The sequence below is a fragment of the Homo sapiens genome, chromosome 2 (genome assembly GCF_000001405.40).
Source record: "Homo sapiens chromosome 2, GRCh38.p14 Primary Assembly".
NCBI lineage: Eukaryota > Metazoa > Chordata > Mammalia > Primates > Hominidae > Homo > Homo sapiens.
The window spans coordinates 112,094,844-112,120,035 of NC_000002.12; the positions used below are offsets into that span (position 1 = coordinate 112,094,844).

A 25,192-nucleotide genomic window follows, 5' to 3' on the forward strand; every position below is an offset into this window, starting at 1 on the left:
TTTGGTAATTTTTATCACTAAAATGAAATGTCTGCTTTTTCTATACAGAAAGATAGCAGATTTCCTAAATGATATAAATGACAAGAAAAAAAAAAGCAGAACTAAATACGTATACAATTGAGTGCTTTGGAAAATGACCCTGCTTCCTTTGATTTTGATGAACTTAATATAACCAATCCTCTAAGAATCTAATTCTAAAGTCATAGGAAAAAAAATAGGCTGAAAAATTCAAAAGCCATAGCCTTAGCCTTTCTCCTGTGGCCCTTCCTCCCCTTTTTTTCTTCTTGTTTCTCTTTCGTTTCTCTTTTCTTTTCTTTCTTTCTTTTTTTTTTTTTTTTTTTTTTTTTTTTTTTTTTTTTTTTTTTTTTTGCTGTTTTGCTGCAGGTGAGTGATTCTGATCTTGTTCTTCTGGCCAGCCTCCCCCTCTCTCTCCTTGACTCTGGCTTGTGCTGGTGGATATCCTTTTCCTACCACAGCAGCGCGCTCTCACTTCAGGATCAGAAGGGCTATTTGTTTTCATGACTACTTTCCTTCCATGGCAGGAATGATTTACACTTTACCTAAATTTAACAGTGTCTTGGTAAGTGGAGGCTTAGGCAATTTCAAATTTACTTTTTATTCCTTAGCTTAAAAACATTTTTTTAAAATTATTAAACCAGACCAGATTTTTTTTTAATCCTAGAAATTTGGTTTTAGTCAAGAATTGTTAAAAGTATATGTTTTGATGTATTTAAGGAATAAAGTATATTTGCATTTTTAAAGTTCTCATAGTAACCTGAATTGGTTGTATTGTATTGCTTTAGAAATTGATCTTTTGTAATTTGTTGGTCATTTAGAAGATTAAAAAGCAGTTTTGTACTAAAGTACTAAAGTAGCTTTAGTACTAAAATGAAGTTTTTTATTAATGACATATTTAAAATTTTTAAAACTTGCCACATCCATTCTGTTGCTCAGCTCTGTTATTTTTAGTGTTTGGTTCATAAACAAAGCTTGTTGGTCTGCTCCAGAGGAAGGAATTCTCATTTAAGAGCAGAGAGAGCTGGCTTGAATTCTGCTTCACTGCTGAGGAGTCAGTGGAAAAGTCTTCTTTTTGCTTCTTCATCCTTGGCAATGTTGAACTTCACCTGAGCCCTGTGCTCCTGGAAAACAGCCAAGATTAAGACACCCCCCTCCAAACCCCCTTCCCTATTTGTGTTCCGAGAAAAGACTTACCTCAGAGAACCCCCTTCCCCACTGGACTTAGGTAAGACTCCTGGAGGCCCGCTTGTCTACCTATGACAAGGCCGGGCACAGACCCTCTGAGTTCCCATTCCTTGCATCACGAATAATTAGATGAACTCTTTATATCCACTGATCGATCTGAACAAAACACTGAACCAAACTGTAAGTATTCTTCTTCCTCCAGGCCATAAACGTTGACTCACCGTCAGCCTGAGCCAATACACAGCCCTCCCGAGAATCTGCAGACCTCAGGAAAAGACATTCCCTCATCGGTGTGTCTAGTCCCACCACTCACTCCCCACACCTACTGCTTTTTATCCTTGTTTGCTGTGCTCTATAAAAGAAAAACCCTTTTCTGCCTGACCTCTGAGACTCTTGCAGATCTTATAGTCGTAGTATTCTTCCTATTGCAGTAATCCTCCCCCGTTGCAGTCATCTTTCAAATAAAGCCCTTAACTAAGTCCAGATTTGTTTCATCTGATGAATTTTAGTTTTAAAATTTATAAAATGGAATTGGTAGATGACCTAACCTCTTAATTATGGTTATTCAAATAATAAAATGAGAATAGACTGGAAAGATCAAAATAAGATAGAAATAGGGCCAGAAAAGCACAAGCCAAATGGCATGTCACAATGTGATCTGTAAAGAGTGTCTCACTTAGAGGGGTTTTAGTGCGTGCACTGCTCTATCCCGTGTTGCGGGTGCATGGCATTGGTGGAACGCATCATGGGTCTTCCGTGTTTTTTCCTTGGAGTTTGTTTTCTTAGTTCAGACAATGGTAAATTGTAAAAGAAAATCTGTGATAAAGTATAATGATTGTACAATATTGGCCAAGATAACATTTTCTGTGTTTTCATTAGCTTCAAATTTTAGGAACTGTATTTAGCAGTACTGACTTTGGGAACATAGTAGAAGATTCTGTTTTTTTTTTTTAACCTCTTATTATTACTTGGAATGTTTTTCCTTAACTTTTTTCACATTTTTATTAGTTTGGCACAAACTATGAAGACCCTAAGGCTAAGAAAGAACACTGTGAAATTTTCATTATATAGACATTTTAAAAATACTCTGATCTTTGCTGTGCTGGGTAAGCTATTTAATTTTTCTTACAGTAAATTATCTTAGTATTGTTATATTCCTTCAAAGGTGACTTTTTGTGTGTTTCAGCTTCTATAGTGTTTATGGGGTGGACAACTAAGACATTTAGAATTGCAAAATGCCAATCAGTAAGTATAACCTTCCTATTTAAACAGTTATTTTTATTTATACTATTTTGTAGAATTTTGAACAATTTAGTTTATGCTTGCAAATAGAGGTGATTTTAATGGAGATTTATGTTTTTACTTTGAACTATTTTTTACAGAGTTATAAAAACTTTTGGCTGGGCGCGGTGGCTCACGCCTGTAATCTCAGCACTCTGGGAGGCCGAGGCAGGCGGATCACGAGGTCAGGAGATCGAGACCATCCTGGCTAACACAGTGAAACCCCGTCTCTACTAAAAATACAAAAAATTAGCGGGTGCCTGTAGTCCCAGCTACTGGGGAGGCTGAGGCAGGAGACTGGTGTGAACCCAGGAGGTGGAGCTTGCAGTGAGCTGAGATTGCACCACTGCACCCCAGCCTGGGCAACACAGCGAGACTCCATCTCAAAAAAAAAAAAAAAAAAAAAAAAACTTTTAACTCCTCCAAGTGAGTCTGAAAAAGTTCCTCCGAAATCTCCTTTTCCTATTATGCCCTTTTGTCAAGTTTTTTTTATATATTTTGAAAATAAATTCTCTTCCTGTATACCCTAACAGGAAATCCTTTTCTTCCTGCACACCATGAAATTGAGTGGTTTGTATCTAGATGGACTAGAAATCTTAAGACTGGCATGTTTCTAGGATCGTGTGTTCAGTATGGGCATTCGAGCGATGTTTTCTTTTTTTTTTTTGAGATGAGTCTCACTCCGTCAGCCAGTCTGGAGCGCAGTGGTGCGATCTCAGCTCACTGCAACCTCCGCCTCCCGGGTTGAAGCAATTATCTGCCTCAGCCTCCCGAGTCGAGTGATGTTTTCTATGGGTTCTCATGTTGGAAGAAGATATATTCTTAGACTTAGAATATGAAAGGTCCTCTTTTGGGGATTTGTTGAGATTTGGAGCTAGTCTCTAGTGCCATATAAATAATCACAAAAAGCCCTCTGAAAATCCAGAGCTTTTGCTGCCTTAGAGACAATTTAATAAAAGAAGAGGCTGGGCCTTCTGACCTTAGTATTTGCCATTTGAAATCCTAAGTATATGTTTTGCATCTTTTGATTTTGAAATCTTTCTGTTAACCCAAAAATTTTATGGCAGGGAATATTTGTAACATTAAACAACCCTTTAGAAACATTTTGAACAATATAGGTTTCTTGAAAAAATATGTGCTTGTTTATTTGGAAGACTTACTGGTTGGAAAGATTTCATTAGTACTTGTCATTGTACATTATTTGAATGGGAAACCTATATGCTTATCAGAAAATTAACGTTTCATGCTTGAATTGTCCTTCTTTTAGGATTGGATGGAACGCTGGGTTGACGATGCATTTTGGAGCTTCCTTTTTTCGCTTATCCTTATTGTAATCATGTTTTTGTGGAGACCATCAGCAAACAATCAGAGGTACCTAACATAGGAAATTTCAAGTCGTCAAGGATTTGTTGATCACCTTCTATAGTGTCAAGAACACGTTTATAGAAACCAGGAGAATAGTCGTTGCTTTTAAGGAGTATACAGTCAAGTAGGGAGATAAGCAAAACAAATGCAAGACAGTGAAAAAAGAGATGTATAGACTAGTCCAGGGGAAGATGGAAGAGGGTTGAGGAAGACTTCTTGAAGCGACAGCGCTTACATTACACCTTGAGGAAAGGAATAGGATAGCGAATGACTGAACTGGGAAAGAGTGTCCATTTTCTGGGGTGGTGGGAAAGGCATGAGATACTTTGGAGGCCAGTGAGACATGCAGTTTGGTTAATACCACATACTCATATTGGAGGGAGATCAAGCTGGAAGGGAGAAGTACGGCCAAAATGACAAAAGACTTGAGTGTCAAGTTCAGAAAGTTGTACTTGAGACTGCATGTGATAGGAAGCCTCAGCTTCCTTGCTTTATCCCTTTGCCCCAAGGAGAGAACTTAAGTTCTTGTCCATCCTTTAGGAAAAAATGAAAAAGTATGTACAGATTCAACATCCCAAATCCCAATCCAGAATGCTACAAAATCCAAAACTTTTTGAGCACGGACAGGATACTCAAAGGAAGTGCTCATTGGAACATTTTGAATTTCAGATTTTCAGATTTGGGATGCTCAACTGGTAGGGATAATGCAAATGTTCCAAAATCTGAAAACATCCAAAACTCAAAACACTTCTGGTCTCAGGCATTTTGCATAAAGGCTACTCAACCTGTATCAGTGTGTTTCTCCTGTCCTTTTTAAAATTATACAATAATACATATATATATATATATATATATATATATATACACACACACACGCATATACATACACATACTGTTCTGTACCTTCCTGTTTAAGGTCACGCCTATAATCCTAGCACTTTGGGAGGCCAAGGTGGGTGTATGACTTGAGCCCAGGAATTCGAGACCAGCCTGGGCAACAAGGCAAAACCCTCTTTCTACAAAAAAATACAAAAATTAGCCAGGTGCGGTGGTATGTGCCTGTACTCCCAGCTACTTGGGAGGCTGAGGTGGGAGGATGGCCTGAGCCCAGGAGGTGGAGGTTGCAGTGAACTGAGATCATGCCGCTGCTACTGCACTCCAGCTTGGGCAACAGAGCCAGACCCTGTCTCAAAAAAAAAAAAAAAAAACCACAAAAAAAACAACTATCTTTCCATATCAGCATGTATAGATCTACCACATTACTTTTAATGGTTTTATGGCATTTTATAACATGAATGTAATATAATTTATATAAGCAGTCCCTGGTTATTAGACATTTTGTTTAAAAAATAGATTTTTGCTATTATCAATAATGTTTTCAGAATGCTGTTGGACATCATCTTGGCAAACTTTTGTTAGTGTAATGTAAGGTAAATGAATTTTTACTTTAATGGCTATTGCCAAATGACCCTCCAGAAAGGTTGTCTTGATTCACACTCCATCAGCAGTATTTTGAGCTTATCACCCTAGGAAATGTGGCCCATTCAGTGGGCTTTATTTTCACCAATCAGATTAGCAACTTTTCTTTTTTTAGGAAATAAACTGACAAGTGGTGGGCAGAGAGGTAAACCTGACATGGAGAAAGAAACAGCAGAAAGTTCCCTTCCCTCAACATTAAATATTGCAAAATTGCTTTGCAGAAAGATTTTACCCACTTATGCTTTTACAAACAGGGTTTGAGAGCTCCAGTTTCACAATTTCTTAATGATAATTTTAGCTAATTTGAAAGTAAAATAATTACGTTTTCATTATTTTAAAGTATAAGAAATTTTTTAAATGTAGATTTTTTATACAATGGCTTTTAGATATAAACTGAAAATTGAACAAGTTTAAACATACTAGTAAAACTACTCCTTGTTTTTGCTATAGATATGCCTTCATGCCCTTAATAGATGATTCTGATGATGAAATTGAGGAATTCATGGTAACTTCTGAAAATTTAAGTGAGTAATATGTTTTCTTTTTAAATGACCATTGTACATATTGCAACAGAAATATTGTACCTTTACCCGTGATGCAAGGTCACATATATTGTTTTTTTCTATAAAATATTTTAAAAACTTTTATCTTCAGAAACCTTATTTTGGTAGACAGTAACAGAAAGGTCAGTGATGAAATTTTCAAGACTATTGTAGTTTGAGCTTGTTACTCATTTCGTAAAATGTTGAAATAGTTACACTGTTTTTCATAAGAATGGTTTGATGTATATTGTGCTTAGCTGCTAAATAATGTTCATCTTGATGATTGCTAAGTTTCTTTGAGTTGCATCTTCTTGCTCTTTTTAAAGTATGCACACCTGTAATTTCTGATCATGCTGAAAGCATTTCTACTTAAAGTTTTAATGATATTTTCATTCTTTCTGTTATTTTCTACATAGCATTTTATCATTTTATTAATTTTATTGTAATCTAATTAAGCATCTGTTAAGGCAACATCAATAAGTAACTCAGATGTTGAGGGTAATTTTATCTTTGTTTCATTTTTTTGTCCTCTTACTTTTGCTTCTCTTAGTAACATTCTTTTTCACCTTCTGTTTTGGTTCTCTAATACATCGATGAAATAGAAAACAGGAAAACAAATAGAAAAAAATCATCAAATCTAAAAGTAATTACTTTGAAAAGCTTAGTGAAAAGTGGCTTAACCTCTAGCTACTCTAAACCAGAAATAAAGAAAAAACTACAGTGGACCCTTGAACAATGTAGGGTTAGGGGCACCAAACTCCTGAGCAGTTGAAAATCTACTTATAACTTTTGACTCTCCCAGAACTTAACTACTGATAGTCAACTGTTGACCAGAAGCCTTACTGTTAACATAGTTATCACATATTTTGTGTATTATATGTATTTTATACTGTATTCTTACAATAAAGTAGGTGGAGCAAAGAAAATGTTATTAGGTAGAAGGAAAGGGGAGGCAGCAAAGGCAGACATATGTGGTGTAACTTTTATTGAAAAAAACTTGCATGTAGGTGGACCTGAGCAGTTCAAACCCATATTATTCAAAAGTCAACTGTAGTACAGTAAGACAAACTTCTAATGTTGGAAATGATAGAGAGGACATTACTATGGTAAAAAAGGTAAATAAGGAAATATTATGAACAATTTTATGGTAACAAATTGGGCAATCTGGATGAGGCAGACAAGTTCATTGAAAAATACAAGTTCATTGAAAAATACATATAACAACCCAATTTTAATTCTAACCCTGTGCCACTAAGTCTGAATAGCTCTGATCTATTAGAAATTTAAAAAAAATTTTTTTAATTTAAAATCTTCCTATGAAGTACCAGGCCCAAATGATTCACTAGTGAGTCCTTTCAAATACTTAAGGAAGAAATGGAAGAAATATTCTAATTTTACACAAAATCTTTAGAAGGTAAAGGAGGTGGGAGTACTTAAAAGGCCAGTACAATTGAAATGCCAAAGTCTAACAGACGTTACAAGAAAAAATTATAGACCAAAAATTATAGACCACTTATAGACCAATATATCATTAATGAGTGGGCATACAAAAATTCTTTAAAAATATTAGCAAATAAAATCTAGCAAAATATAGAAAGACAATCATGATCAAGTGGACTTTATCCCAGGGTTGCAAGGCTGTTTTAACATTCCGAAAATCACTCAGTATAATTCATCATATTAAAATAGTACAAATAAGGCTGGGTGCGGTGGCTCATGCCTGTAATCCCAGCAGTTTGGGAGACTGAGGCAGGCAGATCACCTGAGGTCAGGAGTTCGAGACCAGCCTGGCCAACATGGCAAAACCCCCTCTTGACTAAAAATACAAAAATTAGCCGGGCGTGGTGGTGTGTGCCTGTAATCCCAGCTACTTAGGAGGCAGAGACGGGAGAATTGCATGAACCCAGGAGGCAGAGTTTGCAGTGAGCCAAGCCACTGCACGCCAGCCTGGACAACAGAACAAGACTCTGTCTCAAAAACATAAATAAATAAATAAAAATAAAAATAAAATAGTACAAATAAAAGAAGAAAGAAGAAAAAAATGACAAAAGTATCTCAGTGGGTACAAATAACAAAAGCCTCAGCAAACTAATTCTAAAATGGTATGAAAACACTCCACAGTTAAAATTCTATTTAATGGTGAAATAGTGAACACTTTCTTCTCAAGATTAGGGATAAAGTGCAAGGGTATGTACATACCACTTTGATTCTGCATTGTATGGGAGGTCCTACCTAGTGCAGAGAAGCAAAACAAAACTCCAAAGAATGTGAAAGAAAGAACATGTGGAAAGGAGGAAGTAAAACTGTGTTTATTCGCAGGCAACATGGTTATGTATGGAAAAATCCCAAGGAGTCTAAAGAAAAGAAAAAGTACGGTAGAACTAAGTGACTGTGACAGTCATAGGGTATATGTCCAATGTACAGAAGTCAGTTGTTTTTCTACATATTAACTGAAAACAATTGAAGGTGAAGTTTAAAATGTTATTTACCATACCTTCAAAAATAAAATACTTGGAATAAGTTTAATGAAAAATACGTAAAACCTCTGCAATGAAGACTATAAAACAATGCAGAGATAAATTTTAGAATAAGTAAATGTAGAGATAGAACCTGTGTCTGAATTGGAACTCTCAGTATTAAGCTCTCAGTTTCCCAGTCTGATAAATAGATTCAGTGCAATCCCAATTATAATTCTAGCTGACTTAAAAAAAAATACAGTGGTTAAGTTGATTCTAAAATGTATATGGAAAAGCAAAAGACGTAGAAGATCCTTAACATTCTTGTAGTTACAACATGGATGAACCTTGAAAACATTATGTTAAGTGAAAGAAGCCAATCACAAAAGACCACATACTGTATAATTTTGTTTATATGAAAGGTCCAGAACAGACAAGTCCGTAGAGGCGGAAAGTAGATCAGTGCTTGTCACAGGTTAGAGGAGGGGGAAAGTAAGGACTGACTGCTAATGGGTTTGGGGTTTCTTTGTGGGGTGATGAAAATTTTCCAAAATTGGAGAGTGGTGAATATCTCAAATCTCTGTGAATATCTCAAAATCTAACTGTACTTCAATATGGTATGCGAATTATCTCTCAATAAAATAAAATTAGTGGATTTATACTGATTTCAAGACATAATTATTTCAGATTACAGCAATCCAGACAGTGTGGTATTGGCATAAGGATAGAGAAATCCATCAAGGTAGTAAAATAGAGTCCAGGAATAAACCCATGCATGTGTGGTCAGTTGATTTTTGACAAAGGCACCAAGGCTTACATGAAGAGAGGATAGTCTTTTTAATAAATGGTACTGGAACAACTGGATAAATGTGTAGGAAAAAAAATCATTAGACTTTTGTTGCACATCTCACAATCAATTCAAGATGGATCACAGACCTAATGGAAAAGCTTCAACTGTTATTCTTCTAGAAGAAAAAAGGAAAATATTTTAATGACGTTGGATGGGGTAATTTCTTAGGACATGAAAAACAGTAACCATTAAATTAAAAAATGAGACTTTATCAAAATTTAAAATCTATGCTCATCAGGAAGAATTTAAGAAAATAAGAAGGCTAGCTACAGTGGGAGATAAAATATTCTCAGTACATATATATCTGACAAAGGGCTTATATCCAGAATATAAGTAGAATTCCTGTAAATCAATAAATGATAACCTATGTTGCAAAAAATGAGCAGAAGACTAGTGTAGACACTTCAAAGAAGACATAGGAATGGCCAATAAACCCGTTAAAAGGTGCTCAATATAATCAGTCATCAGGGAAATGCAAATTAAGACCATAATGAGCTGCCACCACACATCTGCTAGAATGGTTAAAATTAAAAAGTCTGATAGATAGCATGAACTATTGGAGAGGATGTGGAACAGCTGGCTCTCTCATACAGTACTTGAAGGAATGTAGAATAGCATGACCGCTTTAGAAAGCAATGTGACAGCTTCTTACAAAGTTAAGCATATACCTACCATACAGTTCAACTGTTCCACTCTAAGGTTTACCCAGAAAAATGAAGCAGATGTCTACAGAAACACAAGAATGTTTACAGCAGCTTTATTCTTAATAGTCCAAAACTGGAAGTAACACAATTATCTACAAACAGGTGAAAAGATAAATAAATTGCCATATATCCATACAATGGAATACTTTTCAGTAATAAAAAGTAACCAACACTCTATAACATAACTTAATCTCAAAAATGTTTATCTTGCATGAAAGTGTTGCATGATTTAGATGATTATCTAAATCAGAGCAGTGGTTGCTTTTGGTGAGGTGGGGATTGACCAGAAAGGAACTTAAAGAACCTTCTGTGATAATGGAAATGTTAACTGTATTGATTGGCATGGCAGTTACTCAAGTGTATATATTTGTCAGGTTTCTTCAGACTGTACACTTAAAATTTGTAATATATATATATATACACACACACACGCTTCAGTGTTCAAAAATCACTGTATTCCCCTTCTAAGAGAAATGTTGGGGTTTTGAATGTCCCAGGAAAACATTTTTGGATTGAGGAACCTCATTTTTATTTATTACATCAGCTTATGTTATAATTGTTCTAGTTTATGGAGAAGCAATATTTGCAAATTAGTGTAATAACAAAAGTGACTACTTACTGGGCATAGATTGTGTGTCAGGCATTTTATATGTGCTAACTTGTTCAATGGTCACTAGAACTCTATGAGGTAGAAATTATTATTATCCCCAGTTTATAGTCAGAAACACTAAGTCACAGGAAGTTAATTGCCTTGCCCAAGATTCCAGTGAGGCAGACACTTAGCCTTTGCTCCACTGAAACTGCAAACATGCAGAAGAGCCTTGGTCAAATATGAAAGAAATCTTGATCTTTCCTATCTTCTTTATGCCATACGCACATTTCAAAATTTGTACATCAGGGATGTAAAGCATACCCAAAGATGTGTTTTGTTCTTGAATGTACCATGAATCCTGAAGATTTTTAAATCCATAAACTTTAAAATAATTGCAATTAAGGAAATATGTATGCATGTATACTTGTTTAAACTCTAAAACTAGGATTCAAACAAGAAACTTGAAAACCTGGTGGTTCTGACAAATAGTTTCCAAAAATCTGTGAACTTTTTTCATATATTTTTCCTACATTCCCAAATGGTAAATCCAGCATCCTGCCTAAAGTTTCCATTATTAACCCTCCATTTCTAAAAAGATATAGTATTTTTTCTTATCAGATTATTAAATTTCTAAAGGAAAATATTATTTTGTGATTTTATATATATGTTTATAATGTCTCTCGTAGCCGAAGGAATAAAATTAAGAGCCTCAAAATCAGTTTCCAATGGAACAGCTAAGCCTGCCACTTCTGAGAACTTTGTGAGTATGGTATATATTTAGTACAATCTTAGTCTTCCTTAGTCTTCACTACTTTAGAGAGCTATACGAGTGTCATATTCATTGACTCTCAGAAGAACAGTTTTTACTAAGATTTTGTTGTTGTTGTTATAAAAATTAGTGTTGCCAAGTGCCAAGTAGCAATCCTGGTTGTCCATAACTGAAATACCTTCATTGTAGATCTCACTTCTCACCTGCTGTTCCTAGGCCAGCAGCATGAGCATCATCTGGGAACTTGTTAGAGATGCAGAGTCTCAGGCCTACCCCGGACGCTCCTGAATTGGAATCTGCTTTTTGAAAAGATTCCATAGCCTGTTCATCTGCACATTCGAGATGGGAAAGCTTTGTTCCAATAAAAGCTTGTGTTAACTTTTCAGCCTATGAAAGTGATTTTTGAAGCCATTTTAAAATAACATTTGTTATCTGTTGGTAAAGAACTTTATGTGTTACCTACACGGTTACCAAAATTAACAGATTTTTTTTTTTTTTGAGGTGGGAAGCTTGAATAAAATTGTAAAACATTGGGCAGAGATGAGCTAAAAAATATTTTCTGCATGTTATTTATGCATAAAAATGTTTTTGAAGACAACAATGTAAAATGGAAATGTCTATCATATAGTTTTATACTTTCCTTATAACTATATGTGCTGTGATTAATACTATGTAAAAATTTATGTATGCATATATAAGTTCTGACACGATAGATAATATGTGAAGACATTTTTTATCTGTTAGATTTGGCAGATTCTCTAATAGATTAGACAGATGGATAAATAAACAAGATGGATAACATAGACTGGAGGGATGGATAGAAAGGATAGATGGATGGATAAAATAGATAGATAGGTAGTTAGATAAGATAGACAGACATAGACAGATAGCTATCTCAGCTGACCTGCTTTCCTTTTCTTGCCTCCTGTAGGGAGATGAGCATAAATGAGTGATACAAATAAATAGGCTTTTCTAAAGTTAGAATATTTGAGATCAGGCCCGGTGGCTAATGCCTGTAATCCCAGCACTTTGGGAGGCTGAGGCAGGCAGATCGCTTGAGCTCAGGAGTTCGAGACCAGCCTGGGCAACATGGTGAAACCCCATCTCTACTAAAATTACAAAAAGTAGGCGGATGTGGTGGCATGTGCCTGTCATCCCAGCTACTCGGGAGGCTGAAACAGGAGAATTGCTTGAACCTGGGAGGCAGAGGTTGCAGTGAGCCAAGATCACACCGCTGCACTCCAGCCTGGGCGACAGAGTCAGACTCTGTCTCAAAAAAAAAAAAAAAAAAAGAATGTTTGTATTATCATCATTTTTTTTAAAGTTATAAACTCATTATATAAGAACTAGAACAAATTAGGAGGCATAATGAGTGTGGCAAAGCAAAAATTCAATATCCTTGCTATTTTCTATCTTACAAATGAACTTTGTGTTTTTACTGTGATTTCTCAGGACAAAAAAAATAATATTTCATACATCCAACTAAAACCAAGAAGTGTAGAAATCTGAAATCTAATTTTTGCGTGTGTAAGAAAACAGTGGCATAATTTCTGTATGGCATGAGTGCCAACTTAGGACATATGTAGAAACTAAAAGAATGTCAAATATTTACATTTAAACACTTAAGTTATATATATATTCTGTTTTAAAAATTCTGCTGTCAGGTGATATTAAGCAAATGCTAAGTATAAATATTTCTACAGGATGAAGATTTGAAGTGGGTAGAAGAAAATATTCCCTCTTCATTCACAGATGTGTAAGTTATCTTCTGTTACAGTTTGATTGTAAATTTTAGGCTGTAGTTTAAAAGGGATCGTTCTCATCCTTTGTCATGTGCTTTTCAAACCTCGTACTTGCATGTACTTGGGTAAGCCCCTATCACCAGTACATGGCCCTTACAGAACTGCAAAGAAAACAAAACCCTGGCTTGTTTTGTTTTTCACGATACAGCAACCATTTTAAAACTAGTGGCCTCTAACCAACTCTAGCTTTTTCTGATCTGCCATTATCAGGATCATTTCATTTTTTATCTATTATGGAAAACGTCAAATGTATGTAAACTTTTTTTTTTTAAAGGTAACCACAGCACCATGTATTGTGAGGAGGCTTTTGGAGGAAAAACATGAGTATAGGAATCCCCTCTGGAAACTTTGAGCTATTCAGGATCCTCTTTATCTATGTTCTGTTTGACACAAGAATTCCAGATAGCTGTTTCCATAGTGAAAAATAGAATAGCCAAGTATGATAAAATTTTTTTACATATTGGTCTTTCCCTCCCTAGCCCCCATCTGGTTTCTGTTTAGATAGCTTCTGTGTACTATGATATTCCTTTTGCCTGAAGAATTGCCTTTACATTTCTTTCTTGTAGTGCAGGTATGCTGGTAGTGAATCTGTCAGATTTTTGTTTGTCTGAAAAAGTCTTTGTTTCACCTTTATTGAAGAAATTTTTGTGGGAATAGAATTCTTTGTTGACCTTTTTTTTCTTTCAACACTTAAAAGGTTGGTCACTTGAATGTCTTCTGGCTTTCATAGTTTCAGAAAGATGTCTGCTTTAGTTCTTATCTGTGTTCCTCCACATGTTATATGGGTTTTGTTTGTGTGGGTTGAGGTTTTTTTGGGTGAGAAGGGCTGGGGAATTGTCTGCCTTCAGGATTTTAACTTTATCTTTAGTTTTCGTCATTATGAATATGATAATTCTAGGTTTGTGTGGGCATATATTTTCATTTCTCTTGGCTGTATACCTAAAGTGGAATTGCTAGATCATATGGTAACTCTATGTTTAACATTTTGAGGAAGTGCCAAGCTGTTTTTCAAAGCAGCTGCATTATTTTATAATCCTATCAGCAATATATGAGGGTTCCAACTTCTCCAAACTTTTTGTTAACACTTATTATTGTCCACCTTTTTGATTTTAGCTCTTAGTGACTATGAAGTGATATGTCATCGCATTTATGAGTTACTGGAATGCAAACTGCCTTGCTGGGGACTAGTGTTAAATATATTTAACTATGGAATTCAAACTGTCTTGTTGGGGGACTAGTGTTATTTAACTAAACTGTGATAACTGAAATTAATGTATAAATAGTCTGTGCAAAGTAAGAACTGCCTATTCATTATGAAACTAACAATACACTGTTATACTTTTTTATTTTAGCAGTCAGAAAAGGAAAATATGGGTGTATATATTCTTTTATATTTCCCATGTATTTACTTTTTCTTCTTTCTTTCCTCTATATATGAGCTAAGACCTTCCTCCTATAGGTCTTTCTTTAATATTTCTTATAGGATAGGTCTGCTGACAACAAATTCTCTCAATTTTATTTATGTGAAAATGTATTTACTTTTCCTTCCTTTTTAAAGGATAGTTTTGCTGGATATAGAAATCTTGATTGACTTTTGTTTGAGCACTTCCAACATGTCTTTCCAATATCTTCTGGCTTTTGTTGTTTTTGAGGAGAAAGTAGTCATTAATTGTATTGTTCTCATGTGTGTGATGTGACATTTATCTTTTGCTGTTTTTCTGATTTTTCCTTTATATTTGGCTTTCTGCATTGTGTTTATGATATGCCTAAGTATGGTCTTTTTTTTTTTTTTTTTTTTTTGTCTATCCTCCTTGGAATTTGTTGAGCTTCTCAGATCCATGTCCCATGGTCATTTTCCAGTGCCTTCAGCTACTTTTTTTTTTTTTTTTTTTTGAGACGGAGTCTTGCTCTTTCACCCAGGGTGGAGTGCAGTGCAGTGGCGTAATCTCAGCTCACTGCAGCCTCTGCCTCCCAAGTTCCAGTGATTCTTCTGCCTCAGCCTCCTGGGTAGCTGGGATTACAGGCAGGCGCCACCACACCCAGCTAATTTTGTATTTTTAGTAGAGACGGGGTTTCACCATGTTGGCCAGGCTGGCCTCGAACTCCTGACCTCAGGTGATCCATCTGCCTCGGCCTTCCAAAGTGCTAGGATTACAGGCATGAGCCACTGTACCCGGCTAGCTACTTATTTTTGACATTTTGGTCCAGGTTTTGTCAGTGTTTTTTGTGGAAGGGATCATCTGACCTTTTCTGTCCAGCTTTACTTGCTCTCTTGTATTGCAATCACATTCTCTGTGATCCTTTTTTCCTTCTTTGTTTCATTTTCTATGTTGTTTTCCTACCACACATTAAGATTTCTGTTGAATTTATTCTCCCTTGGGTGCCTTGTACTTTTCTGCATCACTGCACTGGAATCATTTTTGTCTTTTTCTTTAATTTTTTTTCTGATTATGATTGATTCTTTGAATTTCTTCATGCTTTGTTTTTATCTACTTCTGCTCTTGGTTTTTAGATTTCTTACTGTAGAATGTTTTTAATATTGCCAAATGTTCTTTTTAAGTTATTGTATTTAATTTGGAGTATTGTGTGTTATAACTATAGTTTTCTTCTACTGTAAAATGTTTTGATTTTCATTTTCCTTCTTTTTTCTTTCCTGCACTGTTATATGGAATTGATTTTGTTTTCCCATTCTGAGAGCTTTTATGATGAAGGTTCCTGGTTTGAGTGCCTTTTTCCATCAGTGCGCATGAATTGTAGTTTCTTTTATGGATGACGTTGATGGTATGGAGTAGGAGAGGTTGGTGTTGTTTTATTTTTCTTTTATTTCTGCAGACCTTCTCCCACCGCCCCCCCCAACTTTTTACTGTCTTCTTTTTATTTACTACACGATCACATCTCCAAGGAATATTCTTCTTTTTTATATATCATCCTTTCCTGAAAACAATGATCGTTCAAGGGTGCTGCTTTTTGTCCCACTCGATTTGAGCCCCTTCCGTGTAGCAGGTGCTGTGAACTTCTTCCAAGTCACTGGTTTTATTCAGTCTGTTGGCACTAAGTGTTGGGCTTTTTTGGAGGGGTTGAATTTTGTCTACGGTTGTCTGAGTCCTCCCACCCCTCTACTATTTTTCCTAAAGTCTCTCAACCCTCTGTTTCCCTACTCTGTGTACCCATGAGCTTGCAGTCACAGCAGGGAATCTGTTGGAATTTGACATTTATTTCTCTATTTACATATAATTTCAAGTTTGTGGTGTTTTTTTGGTAATGCTGAAGGCATGTGTCTTTTGTGGTTTTGTTTGTGATCCTTAGTAATTTTATGGTTTTTTGAGCAAGACTATATGGAGAGATTCAAATTAGGTGGCCACCATTATTTTCCAGATTTGGAAACTCATAACTAAGCATTTTAGAAGGAAATTATTTAAGCAGGCTTACCTCCTACTGTGCCATCACTTCTTGCTGGAAACCAATAAGGCTCCTAGGTAGTTCTCTTTGCATGTGAGGAAGTCACCATTCTCTACTATTTTTTTCTGTAGATAGAAATATATTCTTGGTTACAAAAAATCCTTTGAAATATAGAAGACTGAACTTCTTATTTGATGTCTTCATGAACCATTTATGTGAAATGAGTAGAGCTCTATAATCTAAGATGATTTCCAAAATTTTAGGTTCTTGGGAACCTTTGCTTCTTCACTTACGAAAACTTTAACACAAGAAATGTAGCCCAATACTATCCAAAATTAATGTACAATTTACATAGCAAGTTTAGTATTTAGACTTTAAACACAGAGAAAAGCCTTCCCCTTATACATCTGTGGAAATGGAACAAAAATTTTATAAGTCATGGGACATTTTAAACAGATCATGAATAACCACATGATATGTATTATGAGATATTGGTATGATATTCACTGTGAATTTCCTCATCTTCGATAACCCATGAAGGTGACATTAGCATAGCTTATCTCCCTCTTTAATGCACTGAATCGTTCTTAATAAGTTTTAAGTAGTCATTAACGTCATAGCAGGGACCGTTGTTGATATTGCTAGTGTTTAGCTCTAAACAAGGTGCCAAGCGTGTAGCAGACTGCCTTCTGGTTCACCTTTCCTCTAACGCCGTCTTCTCCCCCATATTTTCCTTAATCGTATTATTCCAAACAGTCTGCCTTGCCTCCTTCCTCACACCTAGTCAGTCTCCTGGCCCTCCTGGCTTCACCATGGACCGCACTGTAGGTAGCATCCTCTGGCGTTGTGCGTGGCTCTTTCATGGCAAAACTTTGGAACTTGGACATTTCCTTCAGGCTCTCCTCCCTCAGACCTCTGTCACACATTGAGGCTAGATTAAACTTACTTAACATTTGTTACATTCGTCTTTTCTTTATATCTATATTATCTTTGTTGAGCAAAAGTTCTGTTATATAACACTTCTCTCTGGTACCCTTTGCTGGCAGACATCCAGGCAGTGGTCATAATGACACAGAAGTTAAGCAAATGCTGGATTCTGTAAATACCGCCTTTCATAATGTGTTTACTCATAAATGGGTTAGGTCCGCAATAAAATTTTTGGATGAGCACATTTGTGTAATCGTCACCCAGATCAAAAAACAGAATAACACTAAGTGCTCTAAAAAGCCCATTTCCTATTTCCCTTTCACATCAGGAGCCCACTTTCCCAAAGGTCCTGCTGTCCTGAAGTCTACAACTGTAGATTATTTGTGTCAGGTTTTAAAATGTTATCCCTCAATAGATCATCCATTTGCTTTGCTGTATAGTATTCCATTGTCTGAATAACCCGCAATTTACCCATTGGGGTTATTTTCAGTTGAGTGCTATTGAGAACAGCACTGCTGCGAAAACTCCTGCATGTCTGTCTGCGAGCCTAGATGCTCCCTTCTGTCACCTGTGGATACCCAGGAGTGAGAATTAGTGGGCCATGGCATGTGCCTGTATTCGGCTTTCGTGGATACACTGGCCTTACTGTTAACAACATTATCACCTTTTTTTCCCTTTTATTTCAGAGCTCTTCCAGTGTTAGTGGATTCAGATGAGGTAAAATATATTTTTGCATATTTCCTTGGAGCTGATATTTTCACAAAGTAGAGATGTATTTCAGAAAGAAGTTCTGAAAGCTACTTTTTAAGATTATTATAAATTGAACAGACAGAAAGATGCTATGAATTGATTTGTGGGTAAAGTTGAAAGGATTTATGAATAAAGTCCCCATTTCAAACAAGAACAAGATAAATACTTACTGGTATGAAGGAAATGAAGGGTTATTTTATGAAATCTTGAGTTTAAACGATTTTAAGATGGCAGTTTGTCTAAATTAATCTCTGATACTTGTAGACATTTTGCTGAGATATTAAAGTTTCAATCTCATTTTCATTTACTAAGCAGGAAATTTGGATAGAGGATGTGGATTTAGGAAAGTTTTTGGGAAAAAAATTAGCTGTGGATCACTTGGACATTAAGTTGTGTGGCACAAGGCGGGAAGAAATCTGAAGTGTAAGAATTAAAGACTGGATGCACGGAACATTAACTTTCAAAAAGGACGAGTGGAGGGAAGTTAGTGGTAGCTAAGTTGTAACTTGTATGGTGGCTGTAGCACATAAGAGGGGCCAGAGCTGTATACGTTGAAAGAGAAGGAAATGATTTTGGCATCAGTCTGTTATTTGACTGTACTGGGATGGGAAGGTTTGAGAAGGCCTTGCTGCAAAACAGTTAAACTTCAAGATTCATAACTCTACAGAAAGATGTAGCATTACAGAAAGATTCATAACTCTACAGAAAGATGTAGCATTACAGAAAGATTCATAACTCTACAGAAAGATGTAGCATTACAGAAAGATTCATAACTCTACAGAAAGAGGTAGCATTACAGAAAGATTCATAACTCTACAGAAAGATGTAGCATTACAGAAAGATTCATAACTCTACAGAAAGATGTAGCATTACAGAAAGATTCATAACTCTACAGAAAGAGGTAGCATTACAGAAAGATTCATAACTCTACAGAAAGAGGTAGCATTACAGAAAGATTCATAACTCTACAGAAAGATGTAGCATTACAGAAAGATTCATAACTCTACAGAAAGAGGTAGCATTACAGAAAGATTCATAACTCTACAGAAAGATGTAGCATTACAGAAAGATTCATAACTCTACAGAAAGATGTAGCATTACAGAAAGATTCATAACTCTACAGAAAGATGTAGCATTACAGAAAGATTCATAACTCTACAGAAAGATGTAGCATTACAGAAAGATTCATAACTCTACAGAAAGATGTAGCATTACAGAAAGATTCATAACTCTACAGAAAGATGTAGCATTACAGAAAGATTCATAACTCTACAGAAAGATGTAGCATTACAGAAAGATTCATAACTCTACAGAAAGAGGTAGCATTACAGAAAGATTCATAACTCTACAGAAAGAGGTAGCATTACAGAAAGATTCATAACTCTACAGAAAGATGTAGCATTACAGAAAGATTCATAACTCTACAGAAAGACGTAGCATTACAGAAAGATTCATAACTCTACAGAAAGACGTAGCATTACAGAAAGATTCATAACTCTACAGAAAGATGTAGCATTACAGAAAGATTCATAACTCTACAGAAAGATGTAGCATTACAGAAAGATTCATAACTCTACAGAAAGATGTAGCATTACAGAAAGATTCATAACTCTACAGAAAGAGGTAGCATTACAGAAAGATTCATAACTCTACAGAAAGAGGTAGCATTACAGAAAGATTCATAACTCTACAGAAAGATGTAGCATTACAGAAAGATTCATAACTCTACAGAAAGAGGTAGCATTACAGAAAGATTCATAACTCTACAGAAAGAGGTAGCATTACAGAAAGATTCATAACTCTACAGAAAGAGGTAGCATTACAGAAAGATTCATAACTCTACAGAAAGATGTAGCATTACAGAAAGATTCATAACTCTACAGAAAGATGTAGCATTACAGAAAGATTCATAACTCTACAGAAAGAGGTAGCATTACAGAAAGATTCATAACTCTACAGAAAGAGGTAGCATTACAGAAAGATTCATAACTCTACAGAAAGATGTAGCATTACAGGAAGATTCATAACTCTACAGAAAGAGGTAGCATTACAGAAAGATTCATAACTCTACAGAAAGAGGTAGCATTACAGAAAGATTCATAACTCTACAGAAAGAGGTAGCATTACAGAAAGATTCATAACTCTACAGAAAGAGGTAGCATTACAGAAAGATTCATAACTCTACAGAAAGAGGTAGCATTACAGAAAGATTCATAACTCTACAGAAAGAGGTAGCATTACAGAAAGATTCATAACTCTACAGAAAGAGGTAGCATTACAGAAAGATTCATAACTCTACAGAAAGATGTAGCATTACAGAAAGATTCATAACTCTACAGAAAGATGTAGCATTACAGAAAGATTCATAACTCTACAGAAAGATGTAGCATTACAGAAAGATTCATAACTACAGAAAGATGTAGCATTACAGAAAGATTCATAACTCTACAGAAAGATGTAGCATTACAGAAAGATTCATAACTCTACAGAAAGAGGTAGCATTACAGAAAGATTCATAACTCTACAGAAAGATGTAGCATGTAGATTAAAAGTACTTTAAATGCCCCTTTAAAAGGAATTTTATGCTACATCTTTCTGTATTTAAAGTTTTAGTAAATAATTCATTTGTAATTTCAATAATACATTAATTTAGTAAAGTGAGGCAAATCTCTAGATGAGCTAGGCCTAAGAAATCCATTTTAGCTCTATTCCTGCCTCTCATTGGAGATTCTGAACTTGACATGTTTTCTAGCTAGCAGGAAGTTGAAGTTTTCTGAACTTCTCAGCAGATAACTGACTATACATTATTGGAGAGTATGGATTATATGGTTATTTTTTAATTTTTAAATTTTTTATAAGGATGAGGTCTCTCTATGTTGCCCAGGCCGGTCTCGAACTCCTAGCGTCAAGCAGCCTTCCCGCCTCGGCCTCCCAAAGTGCTGAGATTACAGGCATGAGTCACTGTACTTGGCCTTTTATTTTCTGTATGTAATATTTCCATGTATATTATGGAATATATTTAGTTTCCCTAAATGTGGCTGTTGAAAGATTAGAAAATTTTTGTTAGGGTTCTGGAAGTAGTATCAACATGTTGATACATATCTTCTTTTTTTTTCTTCAGGAAATCATGACCAGATCTGAAATGGCTGAAAAAATGTTCTCTTCAGAAAAGATAATGTGATTGGAACCCGTATAAGAAATGTAGTTAAGCCTGAAGGACTATCCTTCATCAAGACTGAAAGTGAGCTTTGATTTGATATTGCCTAAAAATTTTTATTGTGTTATCTTGGAAGTCTGTGTATCAAAATGAAGAATTCAGATGGTAGGAGGTTCTATAGTCCTTTTAAAGCTGACTCTTGAGTGTCAGTTGAATATCCATTAAATTGGATTTGGAAATAACCTGAGGAAAGTATTATGATAAAGATCTGCACAGATGCCTCTTAGCTGATAGGTGGCAGGCCTGTGGGTTTGGGTTCTCCCTCTTTTCTCTGGAACATATGACAATTCCAGATTAAAGAAAAATGTTTTTTAATAAATACCCTTGGTCTTTCTTCTAGTCACCTTTGAGGTAGATATTGTGATTTTCTGGAGTATAGTATATCCGTGTCTCTGTGTCTTAGGTTTACTAGATGCAATAATACTTCTCTTTGACATTTGTACTGAAGTGATTTGATATTAAGTAAAACAGTTAATGTTTGAATATAGGCATATTTATAGGTTTTTTCCGCTCCCCCCCAACCCACCCTTTTTAAAAAATCTATACAAAGCCCTTGTTTGAGTCTCATCATGCACATCAAATCATGGAGTTAGGTCTTCTCTGAGCTCAGGGGAACACAAGTGCACAGAGAGAGATGTCTTGAGGGTCACTACCAAAGAATTACCCTCATTGTCCCTCACTCAGGCCATGTGTACATGCGATGCTGCTGAGTGTGCTGGGGTGGGTGGTGGCCACGTGGCTCCCCCAGAGCACTTCCTAACTGGCAAGCTGGGAGACCCATTACTGGTGAACTTTGTGGAAATTAGAACTGTATCTTTTACATAATCTTGGCATATTACATTTCATAATAAAAACATACATTTAGTTGCATGCTACATCACTATTGATTTTATAATTAATTTCTTAAGCTTCAACCATGTTTTATACCTTATTTCGTTACATCATATATTTGTAATGTGTAATATGAAATCTTTTGCTTTAATGTCTTTTTTTAAAATGTAGAATGTTCTAAACTTGAAAGGCAATTGAATGTAGTATGATGAAAATGTGAATGTTTTGCTGCTTTCATGACCAAAGATACAGGGCTAGTGGACATTTAGAATAATAATTAAAGCTAGAGTCTTGTATGTCTTTTCTTTGAAGGAGTTCTAACCTTGTAAATTGAGAATGACTTCAGAGAATTTTGATTAAGAAAACATTAAAATCTTAACCGGCACAAACACTCCAATTTTTTTCACTGTGAAGCCGCAAGCAATTTTTTTTCTTTTTCTTTCAAAAGCCTACCTTCTGAATTTATTTCTTGTTTACTCATTTCAGAGAGGGTAGTAAAGAAGATCTATTTCTGGTAGTCATATCGCTTGAAAGGTATTGGTAAATGTGTTTTCAGTCGTGACCATGTGGAAAGTGAACAGTGTTGGCAAACATTACCGAGAAAATCATGCTTTTCAAGATGCCCTTGCTTTGGGATATCCTTCCTAGGGAGAAAAAAAAAAAGTAGTTTAACAATTGTGAATTCCATTTCTTATTTCAGTTTCTGCTGCAGTAATGGGTTCCCACCCACTATAATTCCCAGCATTTATGTTCTGTTGTATTCTCCCCTTAGCCCAGTAACATTTTTATCTAATACCCCATTCCCCAAGTTTTGAGACAGATTGACCCCCTACTCATTATGTGGCTCTAGTTGAATTTTAAAATGTGGAATATTGGGCTTGCAGGCAGTAGGAGCTGCAAATCTGGTAGAGTGGGAGTGTGGAGTTAATGGTGAGTATGTTAATAAAGGGAAACTGTCTCTGACAGAATCTCAGTAATGTTTACCAAAACATGTCTTTCTACAGCTGGTAGGATAAATGATGCTACCCTGTAGCTCAGCTACAGGCTGCAGTGCAAACTTTTCTTCCATCCAGAGAAAGCAGAATTCCCTCCTAGTAACCTCATTACAAATACTGTTACTAGAAGGGCATGTGCTGTCTGTCACCTTCAGTAATATTTGTGCCATCTCTTGATGACTGATGACCTGGATCGAGTATTTCTATGAAGGGTCTTCTTAGGCCCCTTACATACGCAAGAGGGGTGCTCTAGTGCCATAGCTGTAGTTCACAGGAAGGACACCAGGAGAAGTTATACCTAGGGCTACTGAGCAGCTCATCATCCCTGTTTCTGCACAGTTTCCTGAAACTGGCCATCAGGGCCTCTGAGGCACTCAAATCAGTTTACTTTTAGCATGCCCCCATCAGGGTGGGTCTCACTGTTAGTGAGGATACGGGTCTGGTTTGATGTTTTTCTAGGCAAAATGCTTAAGTGTTCTGGTTATGCCATTCATTCATACGATGTGTGAAATTTGCTTAAAAGGGAATTTTCATGATTTGATTTAGATTAGTATTTAAATATCTGCTTTAGATAGCAATTAATTTTATTGTAAAAATAAGGAAAAATATGTGAATATGTGAATTTTTTAAGCCTGAGAGATGATAGAATGTTCCCATATTTTTCTTGTAAAGAAAATAATATTTTAACTTACACATCCTGTAGAAAATACCACCTTTTCCCCTTGTATTACAGTACAATGTTTACATTACTATACTGTCAAGCTGAAAGTATAAAAAATGTACATATACATTTTGAGTTATGTATCCTTTTTTTAAAAAAAAGTTCGAGTCTGTTGCACTAGGCTGTACATGACTAAAGTTGACAGATGCTATGCTAGATTTATAATCACTAGTTCTGGTACTTGTGTCTTTGTATGATCAAAGCATGCAATAAGCAATACAAAATACCAAGCCTTATACTTAAAAGAAGTTTAACATATTGGTTAATATACTGGTTAATATACTGGTTAAACATATTGAATGTATATAAGTGGCAAAACTAGATTTTTAAGGAAGTGTACATTATAATATTGGAGCTCAGTACTGCATGAAGAGACTTCATTAAAACTAAGAAAACATTTATTTGGGGAGAAATTTTAGGCATTTAAGAACTTGTATTTTTCTATTTTAAAAAGTTAAATTATTCCGTAATTTGGAAGAAGTTTCGTTGAATGTAGGACATAACCGTTTGAAGGGTTTTCATTTGAAAAATTGATGTATTTTGTGCCTTAATATTTTGTTCTTTTAATAAAAATGCTCTGAATTTGAATGATTGATTCTTGATAGTATTTATTGGTGCTAGATTATATAAATCTGTAGGACATATAGACATATATAGACTCCAATAGATGGCAGGACATAAAATTCTTAAAACAGGAGGCACAGCTAATCAAACATGGAAAAGTGCTCAACCTCAGTAGTAGTAAAGAAATGCAAAACAAAAGATAGGGGATAGTTTAAAAAATCAAATTAACATAAGTTTGTACTATGGTATATTTGTAAAATCCTTTTGCTTTCAAAGTCTGATGAAATGAGCACACTTATTAATGATGGTAATATAGTTGATTTCCTTTTTTGTGAAAAGTTCAACAATGTGTTTATAACCTTTGAATAATGTCAATTCTGGTGATATTTTAAAAAATGATTCAAAATACAGAATAAAGTTTCTCCACAAAAGTGTTTATTATAATATTAAAGTAGAAATAAAATTAGAGACAAACAATATCATAGTTAAGTGAATTATGGTTTAACCAGCTACTTTATGAGATATTGTATAGCCATTAAATTATGAAGAATTTATAATAAAAATACTTATAAGAACTGTGATGCAGTGGCACATATGTGAATGCTTATCTATGTAAAAATAAGGTAGAGCAACTTACTCTCATGGTTCAGAAAAAATGCATTCTATCTTCCAACTTTTCTGTAAAGTTACAGAATTAAGTAATTACATAATTCTTAATTACATAAATAATTACATAATTAATTAT

General features: G+C 35.3%; 1 protein-coding gene across 4 annotated transcripts in view; it reads left to right on the forward strand.

The window, feature by feature from the left end:
• The window catches only part of TMEM87B (transmembrane protein 87B), a 64,046-nt gene extending 39,575 nt beyond the window's left edge, over nucleotides 1–24,471 (forward strand). For 2 of the 4 annotated variants that reach the window (NM_032824.3, XM_005263827.3), the window contains exons 12-19: nucleotides 2,201–2,309; nucleotides 2,390–2,448; nucleotides 3,752–3,855; nucleotides 5,779–5,852; nucleotides 11,159–11,232; nucleotides 12,945–12,997; nucleotides 18,056–18,086; nucleotides 21,241–24,471. In NM_032824.3, the coding sequence (NP_116213.1) occupies nucleotides 2,201–2,309; nucleotides 2,390–2,448; nucleotides 3,752–3,855; nucleotides 5,779–5,852; nucleotides 11,159–11,232; nucleotides 12,945–12,997; nucleotides 18,056–18,086; nucleotides 21,241–21,300 (564 nt within the window). In that variant the 3' untranslated portion in view covers nucleotides 21,301–24,471. Of the gene's footprint in view, nucleotides 1–384; nucleotides 457–2,200; nucleotides 2,310–2,389; nucleotides 2,449–3,751; nucleotides 3,856–5,778; nucleotides 5,853–11,158; nucleotides 11,233–12,944; nucleotides 12,998–18,055; nucleotides 18,087–21,240 lie in introns of those variants that run through there. The other 2 variants (NM_001329914.2, XR_923049.2) reach the window with 2 other exon arrangements.